We start from the raw sequence: 16095 nt of genomic DNA, 5'->3' as shown, positions 1-16095 counted from the left end.
TCACACGTATTAGGGGAAACTATTACCCAACTACCCTTGTGTACACTCTCGTTGTTATAGTGCCATTGATTATAGGTTTCATAGACTAATTTGCTGTATGAACTAAGCATCAGAGTGATTTTTGCTGTAGAAGTGGCTTCAGGAGTATATCGCTTGCTAAACAATCTAAAGATGTTGATTCCAATGTGATATTTGAAGGGGAGGGAGGGTGTGTGTGTGTAATGCTGATCCTTTTTTAGCCTTGAGGTGTTTTATTCCAGACTGACTTTCTTAAAACTCAACACCACATTAAAAACATAGATTGTTTGCATGCATATGTATTTGTTTCTCCTGCCACCTACAAGTCATGAGCTAGATTTGTCACAGCCCGAAAAATAACACGTTATCTGTGCATCACTCAATTTAAAGGTAGATTTTTGCTTAATTAAGAAAGTTTCTTTACTTTGAAGTCAATCCAGCAATATTTTATTCCCCGTTTCACAGTTTTTCAAAAAGAATTGCTAGCCTATTAGGATAGAAATATTAGAAGCTTTGTAATAGTTACTGACAGAATTACAGAGTTTGCCTCTCTTCATTTTTTTTAGTTCTTGTTTTAGTTTTTTTTGTTTTGTTTAGAAATAATAGAAGGAAGGGAGATGTACTGTTATACCTTTTAATTTTTTTTTTTTTTTGAGTCAGAGTCTTGCTCTGTCACCCAGGCTGGAATGCAATGGTGCAATGTCAGCTTACTGCAACCTCCGCCTCCTGGGTTCAAGCAGTTCTCCTGCCTCAGCCTCTGGAGTAGCTGGGATTATAAGGCACCTGCCACTACACCTGGCTAATTTTTGTATTTTTAGTAGAGATGGGTTTCACCATATTGGCCAGGCTGATATCTTGGCCAGGCTGGTCTCAAACTCCTGACCTTGTGATCCACCCGCCTTGACCTCCCAAAGTGTTGATATTACAGGTGTGAGCCACCACGCCTGGCCTATTTTACCTTTTATTAAGTTGTAAAGTCTGGTAAAAGCCCTTATCATAAAATATTATATGCTTTTAGATGTGGGAAGAGGGCTAAATGTTATCTTTATAAAGTTAGAGATTTAAAGGCTAAGTGACCTGTTTATTACATTGGAAGACAGGTCTGGACGTGGGATTAGAATTGTGGAGTGTCCTTCCTGTGGCTGGCCTGAGTTCCTTTCTCATGTAAGGAAAAAGCACTGAGAAAAAGATGTTATCTGGATCTCTGAGGTTATTAAAAATTCCAAGCTTATTTAATTAATTTATTTATTTGAGATGGAGTTTCACTCTTGTCCAGGCTGGAGTGCAATGGCGCAATCTCGGCTCACTGCAACCTCTGCCTCCTGGTTCAAGTGATTCTCCTGCCTCAGCCTCCCAAGCAGCTGAGATTACAGGCATGTACCACCACACTAGGCTAATTTTGTATTTTTAATAGAGATGGGGTTTCACCATGTTGGTCAGGCTGGTCTCAAACCCCTGACCTCAGGTGATCTACCTGCCTCAGCCTCCCAAAGTGCTGGGATTACAGGTGTGAGCCGCTGATCCTGGCCCTATTTTATACTTCTCAAATATTATACAAACAATAATATAAGGTCATTGTAGAAAATTTATACAACACTGATGAGTGAAAAGGAGGAAAAGTAACCTCATCACCCAAGGCTAGACACTGTTTGAATTTTGATGTAGGAGTATATATTTACATGGCATAGAACTTTAAAAAAAAAAGTGTAAATTGATATTTTTAGAAATGTCTACCTTTTTTGTATTCCCAGTACTTTCACATTTAATTTGTTACGGCAAGTAAAATAAACTAGTCTTAGATTAATACTTGCTTGGCAAAAGTGATTTTATTTCTTGAGATTTTGGCATACACTGACAAGCATGCCTTATGATTACTGCAAAGTGTGTTAAGTGTATTTTTTCTCATACTTAAATGTTTTCAGAATCACGGAATACATCTAATACAATCTACTCTTAATGTCTGTGTTACGACTTAGATTTCTTAGGAGTATCTATTATACTTTGCCTTTTGTCTTCTAGATACTATTGGATCACCTTATTCTGATATTTGGCACTTCGTTGATTGGTAGAAAAATCGTTTTGGCCAGGCGCGGTGGCTCACGCCTGTAATCCCAGCACTTTGGGAGGCTGAGGAGGGCGGATCATTAGGTCAGGAGATCAAGACCATCCTGGCTAACACGGTGAAACCCCATCTCTACTAAAAATACAAAAAATTAGCCGAGAGTGGTGGTGGGTGCCTGTAGTCTCAGCTACTCGGGAGGCTGAGGCAGGAGAATGGCGTGAACCTGGGAGGTGGAGCTTGCAGTGAGCTGAGATTGTGCCACTGCACTGTGAGACTCCGTCTCAAAAAAATAAATAAATAAAAAAGAAAAATTGTTTTACAAAAAGTTCTGGCACAGAGAGAAGTTAAGAGTCAGTAACTTTCTTACTGTTTGTGGATGTGTTTGAACAGAGTAGTGACTTTTGGATTTCATAGTGACTTCGTATGAAACCTAGAGCTGGCAGCATGAGGATTTTCTAGATGAATTAAATATGTGGTATCTTTTTGTAGAACTAGCTGTGTGATTTCATGCGGATGTGGGAGAAATGAATAGGAATTTAATTTGATGATATGAATGTTGAATTTTGTGGTCCGCTAAATTTTAAGGATTTTATAGTATTTAGAACAAAAGGACAAAATAGCTTTTGGCATGACTAGTCTTTATTTTAAATGTTTTTTAAGTTACAAATGTATAATATTTATGAATCAAGTAGATGAAAATAACTCCCAACTTTCATTGCCCAGAGATGGCCTGTATGGCCAGTTTGGTGTGTATCCTTGCAGATGTTTTTCTATGTATACATCTACATAAAGATTTTTCCAAAATGTAATAATTTTACATGTAATGTGGAAACTATACGTATTGTTCTGCAATCTGTAAATTTTACTTCTTCAAAGTAATATATATATATTACTTGGGTATTTTACTTCTGTATATTTTCTGTAAATATTTTTAGTAAAGTATACACATTATAAATATTCACAGCTGTCATTCCAGGCTATTTCTCAGAGATCCACCTCCTTTAAAAATGTGTATTCTGGATCCATTGCTATTCTATGAGTGCAGCTGAATTTACTTAACTAATTCCTTTATTGATGAACTTATTGATTGTTTCCAAGTTTTTATTATTTCTGTGGGATAGATATCCAGAATTTCAGATGGCCAGGGCCAGTGGTATTGCATTTATACTTTTGATAGATACTGTGACAATTTCTTCCAGTTGTACTAATTAAATGCTAGCTTATTTGCTCCCATTACTGACCTTAAAGGTAAGAGGGAGTTATAGTGAGAAGGCATCTTGCCTTATTCCCGATTTGACCCAGACCTAAAATATCTAAGGTCAGGAGAAAATGGTGGGTGGGGTGAGGTGGGGTGGGATGGTTGGGTAATTGTGGATTGGAAAAGAAAAAATTATTGCCTCAGTTTAGGGAATGAAAGTTGCATCACTTATGGTCTAAAAAATGAAGTGTGATGAAGTTTATTTGTATGAGCAAATTTATGGAAAGATTTTTTTGAGTTGGTGAGCAGTCTGGATTATAGAATATAACAAAATTGGTTAATCTGCCCTTTAGGTTGTAAGGAACAGGGACTCACTAAAATTACCCAAATAATGGGGCATTCTTTATAAAGGTAGATGTGGGAATAGGGGGACAGGAATCTCATCCATAATCCTGGGTTTTCTAGCATCCTGGAAAAGTTGAGGGTCTCGGTCTTGGGAATTGCAGTGAAATGTCTGCATATGGACTGGGAAGTGGATAAGACCTCAGCAGCAGGAAACTTTGGATCCTCACTATTCTGGATCCTCTAACCTTAGTGTAACCGGCCAATCAGCATGTGTTTGCTTTGCTCATGCCCACCTGCTTCTCTGGCTGTTTTTACCTGGCTTTCTTACCTACTATCTGTGCATGTCTTCTCTGTCATGTTGTTTCTACTTAGTCAGAATTTTGGCTCACTCATAGCTCCTTATGGCCCATCCAGCTTCTCTCTTCTTTCCCTGTTAGCCGCAACTATGGCTGCTAATTGCTGGATTCTGTCTGTATTTCCCAATCTTAATCCCAAAGATTGAGAATCTAGTTTTTAGTGAGTCCCTTCATAGAACACCTGACTGCCCTAAACTCAGACACCCTCCTTGGAGAAGGGTGTAGCATCGGAAGTTCCTGCCTGGGAAGGAATCACAAGTGTGGCAGGCACCACTAGTGAGTGTTTTATGTAATACTGCTCTTAGGTAAGTAACTGGTCACGAGACAGAGACGACATGTCACCCTAATCAGCAAAATGTAATCCTGATCTAATGTACTTTCTTTGTTAAAATATATACTTACAATGTGTTTAAAGAGCAGTTTATTGTTTTGAGTCAATAAATAACTTTCTTCCCTAGGAAGAACCTCCCTTTTCCCTTATGGATTGTAAATTGGGAAATCTTATGCCCAGTTTCAGTTATAAATTGTCTTAAATTCTGAAATAATGATACCCGAATCCTGAGATATGGTCTGGTCTTGCCTTTTCTGCTGGATTTAAAGTACTATGAAGTAGTTCATCCTGTTTATGTAATGGTGATAAAATTCTGAAAAATATACCTGGAACCTGATACTCTTTGAGGAACTAACTTTCCTATGTCAATAGTTTTATCAGCAGTATCTTCTCCATGGATATTGAGAAGAGAATCTGATCCTCCCAAATTTTATGATGTATTTGATAGTTTTATCAGCAGTATCTTCTCCATGGATATTGAGAAGAGAATCTGATCCTCCCAAATTTTATGATGTATTTGGTGGTCCAGTGTTTCAGAGATGCAAGTTTGTTAATATCCCCTGGAAGATTTCTCAAGGTTGCTTTGTTTTCCTCTTCAGGGTCACTATTAAGTATCCCTTTTTGCCCTGTTCTCTTCCTCCTGAACCCCATTCTGCTTCACTTTCAAAACGATGGCTAGAGGGTTGGATATGTCAGTGATCATGAACTGCTGAGTCCTAAACTTTGGTGTCTGTGTCCCTCAGAACCTCAAAGGGCAGTTTCCCTGTGACTTTTTAAAATGAGAACCATGTTCATGAAGTGCTGTCTTAGTTTCAGATCACTTGAAATGTAATCTGATTTGAGAGACAGTGTTTAAGCTCCTGTTTACCAAAAGGCTGTTTTGATTATCATTTTGCAGGAATTGTTGCTGGGTAAAAGACAAATGAACAACGTACTCAGAAGAGATGACCAAATGGTCTGATTTCATGTTGGAAAGTTTCTTCTGGTGGTCTTGAATCTGCGTTTTAATCTCCTTAAAAATGCCTTTTTAGCACATAAGCAAAATTAAACATTATTGTTTTATTAAAAACTATGCAGTGCTCCTTATTAGTTAGGAGAAAAATCTCTTAAATCCTTTTTGTTAAGGACATGTGTAATTTAAGGCTTTCATTTTGACAGCCTGGTTTCAGCTGACAGGTATGTTAATCTCTATTTGATTGCTTTGGTGAGGAGTTGAAAATCACCTAATGCCTGGCTTAGTGTGCATTTGTAAATGCGCTTTCTTTTGGTTTTCATTTCATGCAATAATGAAATGAATTTTCCTACTGTTATTTTGTTATAGATTGATGGTTTATCTGATTACCAGATTTAAATAAACAGTTGAACCATATTCCCTTTGACTGTGTCCCCTTGTTTATCCTTTTTTATTTGAATGCTGATGGGTCTTTATAAGCATTATTATCAGCATTATTATCAGTACATATGTATGTATAGAGCCTCTTCATCAGTTATCTTGTAGCATAACAGTGCTCTAAGAAAGCGATTTTTTTTTGTTGTTTGTTTTTTTAGTTTAAGAATTTCCTATTCTTTTCTATTTTGGTTTAATTTTCATTACTCTTTTCTTTCTCCCCTTATAAGTGCCAAAGTTTATGTGAATATGATTATATATAGAACATATGACTATATATAATCTTTTTTTCTTTATGTTTACAGAGGCAAAAGATATATTTGTGTGTTTATGTGTGTAAAGTAATACATGACAAAAGAAAAATTATGTGTAATAGAAGTAATTTGACTCTGGGGAGAATTTTACTTTACGTTTTGAGGTAGAGCAACCTTTAGAAAAAATATTCAAAGTCAAAATTCTGGGAGGGATTTTTTCCTCCATACCAGGAGGACTTTTAAAAGCAATTCAAGTCGACCAGATAATTCTGATACAAACATTTATGGAGCACCTGCCGTGTGCCAAGGACTGGACCAATTACTCAGCATACTTGATGCCTGATCCGTTCCTCATTCCTGCGAGGGTTGGTGTGATTATCTCAGTTTTACAAATCAGGAGGCAGAGACTTGGATGATCACAGTCAGTTGAAGGTCACGCAGCTGGATCTGAACCTAGTCTTGGCTGTTTGCAAAGCTGTCACCCTTGCTATGGTCCTCTTTGCCTCCTTCACTTTTGCTGTCTGACCTAGCTTTATGATTCTCAAACTTCAGGATAAGAAGTGAATTTTCTTTTCTTTTTTTTTTTTTTTTTTTGAGACGGAGTCTCACTCTGTCACCCAGACTGGAGTGCAGTGGCGCAATCTCGGCTCACCACAACTTCTGCCTCCTGGTTCAAGCAATTCTCCTGCCTCGCCCTCCCGATTAGCTGGGATTACAGTCACGTGCCACCACACCCGGCTAATTTTTTAGTATTTTTAGTAAAGACGGGGTTTCACCATGTTGGCCAGGCTGGTCTTGAACTCCTGACCTCAAGTGATCTGCCTACCTCAGCCTCCCAAAGTGCTGAGATTATAGGCATGAGCCACTGCGCCTGGCCAAGAAGTGAATTTCTAGAAGAAAGGTCCCTATTTTTAAAGTAGCATCACTTGGCAATTGGAGGAAACTCCAGGCAGACCCTGGTTCAGAGCCCAGTGGCATCATTTGCTAGCTTTATGACTGAGAGCCAGTTACTTGGCTCAGTGTGTTTTGTGGTGTTTCAGCACCAAATCTGGACCATCATATTGGCCTTGCAGAGTTGTTTTAAGGATTAAAGATCATGAATGTGCAATACATAGTAAATGACAATGATGATTATGATAATAGCAGTTAGCACTGAGGAGTTGTTATTACTTGTCAGCTCCTGGGCTAAATGCATTTCATATTTAGCTCATTTAGTCCATACAACAACCCAATGGACAGGTATTATTGTCTCTGTTTTACATGGAAAGAACTCAATGTGTGAAGTCTCTTGTTATTTATATTTTCCACATCAGTGTACCCCTCCATTGGTATGGCTAATTGAGAATTCACTGACTAGAGAATTCACCGTCATGCAATAAACATTAGTTAAGCACCTCCTATAGGGTAATTAAGATAGATAAAAGTTCTCTTTTCAAACCTTATATTTTAGTGATTACTTTTTACCTATTTATCCTCTAACTGGTTTTATTTGTGGTGTTAAAAAGGGATTAATCTTATGGTAGCTTAAGCACTTAAACATTTCACATACAGGGAAATCATGAATGGAAATGCTTACTTTCCAAACCACTTTTTATGTGTCTTCAAAATAATTAATGCTACTACATTGGTAAAAAGGCTCAGAAGATATGAGGAGATGAGGAATCTTCTAAAAATACCCTCTTACTACTCCTCTCGTTCTTTCTTCCATCACGCAAAGTACCTAAAAATGCAATTGATAAAATAAGTTGCATAAAGCAGCAATCCTCATGGCCTGTCATCTCTCCAGAGCAATGATGGGGACATTGGGAGGTTTAGAAAAGTTATTAGCATTAATGCTAAAGTGCTGACAGCTGAAAAGAGCACAGAGGAATTCTGGCAGTGGACTCACAGTTCATTATAGCAGGGAGAGAGATTCCTACACCAAGTGAAAACACTGTAGGGTTTCGCTCATGTGCTCCCCACCATTGAAACCAGACTGGAATATTCAGCCAAAACAGCAGACTGTTAGATATTTAAAAGAAGGAAAAAAGATGCAAATACACTACTCTATAAACATGCCTGTCATCTCCTGGCTGGTAGTTCAAGGTGCCATGTGGGTTAGGAAAGTTCTTCCTTCCATGTTAGAGAAAGTGGAACCATACTTATTAAATCGTGAAACAGGGTGGGAAGAGTGGAGAGTCTATTCTTTAGAAAGACCTGAGCAACTGTGAGCTGGCTGAAGGTCAGAATTTAAATCTCCCTGCTTTTTCTTGATCAGACGATGGGTTAATTATCCTCCATCTCTTTATTCGGTCTTTGTTGCGCCCCGGTGAGTGCCAGCGTTGCTACATCTTGGTGATCCAAAGAAGAAGTGCCCTTTACGGTCTGACCTTGAGGAACTTGGAAAGTCTGCAGGAGAGAAACAAACAGGGAAATGATTATACCCTTTGAGGTAATTCTCTGGTGGAGGTGTGGTAACTAATCGTTCCATCTCCAAAGTCCTCCTGTCTTTCATCAGTAGCATGTTATATAGTTGTACTGTTGATCCTAAAGGAAGGGATTTCAATTCCAACTTGGAAATTCCAGCCATCTATTCTGTCTTGCGGACTAGTTGTCTTGTTCCAAGATAGACTAGTAGTGAGAGACAGGACTAATGTTTTCATACAACTTTGCCATTTTGTTCATAAAAAGTTTTTGAAGTTTAGTGCTGCCTATACAAACATGGTTAAATGCTAACACTAACTGAATATACATGTAAGTGTGTGTGTATTTGTTTTTTGACACGCATGTATTAACATAATGTTCTAGCTTGTATGTAAACTCTGGACTCTGAGACAATCAATGTTTAAACTTTCAACAAGGAAGAGAAATAACGAAAAGAAACAATGGTTTTTTTGTTGTACCCAGCAACTAAATTTACCATTGTTCTAAGAACTCGACAAATGACCACAGGATGTGAACTTAATCGAGTTGTGCCTTTGAACAAAGGTATCCTAGTGATAGTGGAATTTTTTACTTCCTATCATCCTGCTCATGTGTTCACTTGCCTGCCTCTTCTGAAATCACCAGCAGTTCAGTATGACTTAACCAAGTAAATGAATTACTGCAATGCAAAAGAAACCAACCCAGGAAACAAGAGGAATCACCATTATTTCTGACTCTGTCTCCTAGATCAGCATTCGAAGCCAAAGATTTCCACCTTTTACTGGAAAAATACTAAATGAAGTGACTCACTTTTAAAAAAATGACCCCTGCAATGCAGCCTAGATTTAATTGAAGGTGGTATTTAACTGAAAGTGAGGGCAGTGTGTATAATCTTAATCTCCTCAGTCGGACACATGTTCAATTGTATTATCTTTGAGAAAAAGTTTTTATTGCATCCAGAAGAAACTAAGCAAGCATTTAATGGAGAACTGTTAGGAACCAAAATTTCCCTAGAAATATTGCCTTTGATTTTATGGAATATTTTTCTTGATGCAATTGAAATGACTTGCCTTTGATTTTGACATCTCTTTTGGCGTTGACTATACATGTCATCTCTTTGGGAGAGGAGAGCTGTATCCATGTTAGTCATCTCTTTCACCTATCAGTGCTCTATTAATCGCTGCTCTGCCAAGTACTTTTTACATGCACATCTCATTTAAGATTGATATCAAGCCAATGAAGAAAATGAAGCCAAAGATTTAAAATATTTGCTAGGGTCAAATTGAGTTTCTCACTCTCCAGAGTCTGTAAATCCCCTCTTAACCATTATGCTGTGCTGCTTAGAGTGGTTTTCTCTTTGCCCCAGGAGAACTCTCACTAGATAAACCAACAGCATATTCAGTACATGTGTGTTGCTTCTCAGCAGAGAAGTTCTCAGCTTTGTTGGGCATTTGTTGCTGTTGCGAATTGAGTTGTTTAGTTTCCTTTCATTATTGGCACATGCTTGTGATCCCAGCACTTCGGAGGCTGAGGCAGGAGGATTGCTTGAGGTCAGCAGTTTAAGACCAGCCTAGGCAACATAGTGAGACCTTTATCTCTATTTATAAATGTATATATTATTCACATTAAAATTTGTTAAAGAACAACTTTGATTATCATCATTATTCAAATACTCAAGCAAAGGAAGGCTCTCCATCTCTTTCCTTGGACAGTACCTCATAGCATACCATTATGTTTCAAGGTGCATTCTATAGTAAGATGAGCAGATAATGCTTGGATGATAAAGTTTAAAGTAAACTTGTAAATCAAAATTTGCAAAAAAAAAAAAAAAAGCAAGAAAAGTAGGTTAAAGGAACTTGACGTCTCCTTTTTAATATCAAGGTAACTTGTCAGGGCCTGGAAGGCATCTATCAAGTTGTGAACACTGTCTCGTCTTTTTAAATGGTGATTCTAATAAATGGCTTTTTTAGTTTCTAAACCTGGACCATTAGACAACACTGAGATTGGTAGGAGAGCAATTGTGAGACCAGAGTTTTGTTGCATTGAGAGGAGTGCTTGCTTGCCCCAGACCACTTGGAGAAAAAGTCAGGAATGGGTTAGATATGTTTTCTTTTTCTTTAGCTAAGGGCATCTGTCTGACTGGCATTGGGTTTGGACAGTAGAGGGATAGAGGAGACCTACACACAACTCTCTATGATTTAGTAGGAGGCAAGGAAGTAAAAGAAGTCACAGAAAAGCCTCCTTCTCCCTGAGGAAGTGGACAGAGATAGAGACCTCTTCCGTCCAGGGTAGGAAGTCCCCATAGTGCCTGACTTATCTGTATTCTGCTAGGCTTTTGAGCAATAAATTGAGAGTTAAGTGTATGTGGAAAGTATCTGAACACACCGAAAATATCTGAAGATTTTTTTTTTTTTTGAAACAAGAGTCTCACTCTGTCACCCAGGCTGGAGTGCAGTGGCTCAATCTTGGCTCACTGCAACCTCCACCTCCTGAGTTCAAGCGATTCTCCTGCCTCAGCCTCCCGAGTAGCTGGGATTACAGGCATGAGCCACCGCGCCTGACCCTCTGCCTACTTTTTAGAGTGCTATCATCTCACTTTTTCTTCCTTAATATACAAATTATGTGAATCTTTCAAGGTTCCACCTAAATGCCCACCCCAAATTCTTGATTCATATGATTCTTAGGGAAAATGACCTGTAGCTGTGTAATGTAGCAGCTTGGGCATAATTATAGCTTATTTCGTCTGGTAGCTTTTTAAGTTCCTGAAGAATAAAAAGCATGCCTGTCCTGAGTTTTATGTAGTAAGATTTAACACGGTTCGTACCACTAGTTGGGAGCTGGTTGTTATTTGTTGAATGGATGCATGAACTTCTGTCAATCTTTTGATTCTCCTAATAGCTTTCTCTGTGTTTAATTGAGGCTTTCCCCACGTCTTTTTCAGAGTCTAGAGCTTTTGGAATCTGCTTTTATTTCTTAACACTTGATTTTTTTGGGGGTGGAGGAGGAGTGTATTCTGTGTTCTTCTGTTTGTTCTCTATGGCTGGAATTACTTTTGGAAAGATGTGACACTGTTTCGATTTTGTCTCTGAGCCTTTTTACTCAGACAAAATCACAGGAGTTTCTCTCAGGACAGTCATGTTCTTTAGGTGACTTGGCCCTTGCTCTAGCAAGCCTACCTTGGTTGAGCGTTTGGCTAGGAGAAGTGGGAGAGCAGTTGACGCAAATACCGCTGTCCTATGACCTGACCCTGGTATGCATGGTGCTGTGCCCTACGGTCACTATTTTTGATGATAGGACTTTGTCCAGTCAGCTTAGCGGAAAAGATCATACATGTTGAACACTGCGAAAGTGAACTTTCCCAAGATATTCTTTTGGGGAATTTTCTGAGCTTTTGTGGTTCTTTACAAGTTACTTGTCTAATTTGTACATTCACCTCTGCTGTCCCATGGGCCTTGGCAAGTGACAGCTGCAGTGCCGATGTTTCAGAGTAGAGAAGCTTTGTTAGAGTGTGGGGTTATCTGGGAACTCTCTTCCAATTTATGTGGTCTAGTTCTGTTTAAATTCTTTCTCCATTACAATTCCCTTTAGCAAAAGTTATGCCAGTAATTTCCATTTATTGCCTCCTTAATGATGACATGGTGTTAAAAGATGTTTATATGATCCTACATATCTTAGTACTTTCAAAATAAAGAGACTTTTAGTGATTTACTGCTAGGAGGCTATTTCTGTCTAAATCATGATAACATGGACGTGATCTTAGAATTAGTAGTTATGCTTTTTTCTTCCTCCCCTCCATAGGAGACTATGTTTCTAGGGCTGGCTTTGACTATTAAATATGTCTACAGTCAGTCCTCCATGTCCATGGCTTCTGCATTTGTGGATTCAGTTAAATGTAGATTGAAAATACTTGGAAAAAAATGGATGATTGCATCTGTACTGAACATGTACAGACTTTTTTTCTTGCCATTATTTCCTAAATGTTATAGTATAACATCTGTTTACATAGCATTTACTTTGTCTTAGGTATTACTCTAGACATGATTAAAGTATACAGGAAGATATGCATAGGTTATATGCAAATACTACATCATTTTATACAGGGTTCTTGAGCATCCATGAATTTTGGTACCAATCCCCCACGAATACTGAGGGGCAACTGTATATCTTTTTTCTTTTGTGGGAAGTGGGGCCAAGGATCGGATAATCTGTGATCCTCACATAAAAATATTCTGAAATGTCAGTTTATATGATTCTTTGATTTTTCCAGATCTATATTTCTGTGGTATAGGAAGGTAATAAAGGTTACGATAAAGAAACAGAGTATTCCCCGTCCTGCATCCGGATACTGGCCTTTTTCTGATTGATAGAAATTGGGGTTTTCTAATTCATGCTGAATCTGAATCTCCTCCTCCAATAATGAAGGTCCATAGGAAATTCTACCAGGTGGATCTGTAATGGAACATGTTCCCTGTGTGACTTAAGGAATTCAGACTCATTACTTTCTAGGCACCCTTGGTGGAATGTTCTTCAATAACATGGGAGAGTGGGATGCTTTTGAAGACACAGGTAGAGCTGCAGAGAAACACGTAATCACTGATTTTCGTGTTGTGAGTTTATTCACATCATAGGATAATGGCTTGTGGAAATACAACCCTGGCAGGTCTGAGCAGTCTTCTTTTCCCAACAGAGCATGTCTGCTTCTGCTGAGAACCTAGGACTAGAGCTCACCATATTCCAACCAGCGCCCCTCTGGGCTCCTGGGCTGGCTTTTAAAAAAGCCTTGTTCCTAGCGGGTTGGTTGGGTAAAGCTTCCTGGTATGGGAAAGGGGCAGGTATGCAGGTAGTCACCAAGCTGGGGAGTGCCTGGCACAGAGCCGGTGACCAAGACCTCTCAGGAGATGAAAGTCCGCTGCTGTTCATGAGATCATCCATGCCTAAGAGGTGTGGCGGTGGCATTAGCCTTGGCTTTAGAAAGTTGAAAGCACACGAATAATGTCTTCTTTTGAAGGTGGCTTATAACAACGTTTCTTTGCCTAAAAACTCGTATTTCTGTCAGGTTTGCTCAAGCTGAGGATGGCGATTTGCCACTTCATTAGATGACTCACGTCACTGAAAAAAGACATTTAGCCCCTTCTCCTGGACTGTCCAAACCTAGGAATTTCCTGCAGGAATGCCAAGGAGATCTTCAAACAGCCAAACACAACTTTTGCCTTGGTGTGCAGGCGTGCTTCTGTTTCTGTCAAAATAAATTAGGCTGCTAAGTCGTAAATTAGGAAAATATTTTGCTACTTGTGTTTCTTATTTAGCAAGTAGAATAAATAGCTGGCCTCAAAACAAAACAAAAACCCAAACCAACCTCAAGTCGATTGACAGAAGATGATTCTGCCTTTGCCAAGAGTGAGGACGTACCTTCTCTGGGAGACAGGAAGCCTTCATCTGTCTCCCTCTGATTTGACTCAGTCCTTACCTTCCATGTACCTCTGGTCAGGTCACCTTGCCCATTTCTCCCATTGCCCTTCATATTGGGTTGGGGTTTGCAGGCCTAAGGAGGAAGCACGGGAGGCCTATCCATATCTGAACTCTGTTTCCTGTCTCTCTTCCACCAATGTGAGGTTTCTCCTCACATTGCTTTTACCCAATACATGAAAGATTTCCTTTGTCAAGCTTATTGGAATGCCCTGTGGGAGGGATGCTATGCAAAAACATAAATGTATTGCATAACTGCCCAGTCCTTAGAGATGCTAGAGCATCCTTGGCACCTTCACAGACCCCACTCTCTGGTCAGTCCCTAGAGAGCAGGGTGAGGTGCACTTGAGAGGTGGCTTTGTCCTCTACCCCAGTACCATGGTCCATGGTGATGACCTTTATCCCAGCTCTGATAAAAGGCTATTTTAGGTTTTCTAAAATACAGTTCCTCACCTAGCCCAGAAAGGAATATTTCCATTTTTTCCCCCTTTCCTCTTGTCTGATTATTTCCAGCTGCTGTTCCTTTACACGTCAGATTTGTTTCTCCTGTGTCACCTTGAGGCAACTGACATTCGTGACTAATTATTAGAAAGGGCAGCCTTTTAGTTTATTTTGATGAAAAAGTCTCAGAGAACTCTGTTAGATACACTGTATTTGAGCAGGTGACATGTTGATGTTTGGGATTTGGGAAACAGATCCAGCAAAAGTAGAGTTTTTAGCATGGTAGCTGGAGGAGTCAGAAGGTCCAAGGAGAGCTTCATGAACTTATTTATTGCTAACGCCCTGTGTATTCTCTGAACTAATTCCAGGCTTTTAAACTTAATACCAAACAGCCAGGCCAGGTGGTCACGGGGCTTACGGAAGGGTCATCTTGGAGCAAAGAACCACACAATGAACTCTTATCCAGCTAACGTTTTTTTTCTCCCCTGTAAAATCAAATTAAATCAACCTCAGTTTGGAGGATGTGGAAATGGGGGGAGAGTATGATTGGAGTCCTGGCCATTTGGTAATGCCAGTGGTTTGTGGGAGCAGTCTGGCTATGAAGGATGCATAAAAAACAACTCTACAATTTAAACTTATTTCAGAAAAGGGCTTTTTGTTTGGCACACACTGTTGCAAGCCATTTTTGATCCTTCATTGTGAAACCTTCATTCGTTGGCATATTATATAAGGTCAGCGCAAATACGGTGTTGAAAACACATGGATCATGGTACATCCCTAGAGCTGTAAAAGAGACTGATAAAAGATGGTATGTACTAACATGAAGAGAGCTCCAAGAGATATACTACTGGGTAAAAACAGCAAATGACAAAATGAAGAATAGAGTTGCTACCAAAAAGGGGCAGCAAACCAATACACTCTTTTGGATTTCCAGTGTAGAGGAAAATCTTACCTCAGTTCGTGGCACACAGTTATCAGTGGTCTGGGCAGGACCTTTTTCAGAATTACCCTGTACAACATTATTTCTTGACTTTCTTTTATCCTTATTCCCTTACTCGTGCCTTTCCCCCTTAGTCAACCTTTTGAATATTTATGTATATCCTTTGTATATATTCTTGTAAAACATGTTATTATTTTACATGCTTCTTTTTCTGAGGTGTAATCCACATAACATAAAATTATCCATTTAAGATTAACAATTCAGTGGCATTTAGTACATTCACGACGTTGTTTAACCATCACCTCTGTCTAGTTCCAAAACATTTCCACCATTCCCCATACCATGAAACAGTTACTTTCCATTTTCCCTTCTCCCAGCCCCTGGCGACCACCTGTTCTGGATATACGTCATATCCAGAATACAAATGGAATTAAACAGTATGTGATTTACCTATTCTGGATACACTATCCAGAATATAAATGGAATTAAACAATATGTGATCTTTCGCATGCATGTATTTTCAAATCAATCTTTATTGAGATCTAATTTACGTAGATAAAATGTACCCACTTTTTAGTGGACCTTGTGTTTTTTTTTTGTTGTTGTTGTTGTTATTTTTGACATCTTTCACATTTGCTTACAGCAACCCCACTAGGCAGGCACCGTCATCACCCTGTTCTGCAGATGAGGCTTGAGGCTCAGGGATGCCGAGTGACTTGCCTGGGATTGCATGACAGCTTAGGATGTGGAGGTGGGCAGGCTGGCTCTAGAGTCCATGCTGCTCCACCACTGTTGTCCACCGGCCTCTCAGGTCTTCACGTGGGCGATTTCAGAGCCTGCCTTTTTCCACACAACATTATACTGTTTATCAGGTTGATAAAAAGTGGCTATAGA

The 16095-nt window shown here is 39.2% G+C and overlaps 1 protein-coding gene across 7 annotated transcripts in view; it reads left to right on the top strand.

The window, feature by feature from the left end:
• Window positions 1-16095, top strand: part of STK39 (serine/threonine kinase 39) — a 293574-nt gene that overhangs the window by 17540 nt on the left and 259939 nt on the right. The gene's annotated exons all lie outside the window — the stretch shown is intronic.

Source organism: Homo sapiens, chromosome 2 (assembly GCF_000001405.40).
Source record: "Homo sapiens chromosome 2, GRCh38.p14 Primary Assembly".
Taxonomy (NCBI): domain Eukaryota; kingdom Metazoa; phylum Chordata; class Mammalia; order Primates; family Hominidae; genus Homo; species Homo sapiens.
The sequence above is the reverse complement of the archived record's forward strand: the minus strand, read 5'-3'. Positions and strand labels throughout refer to the sequence as shown.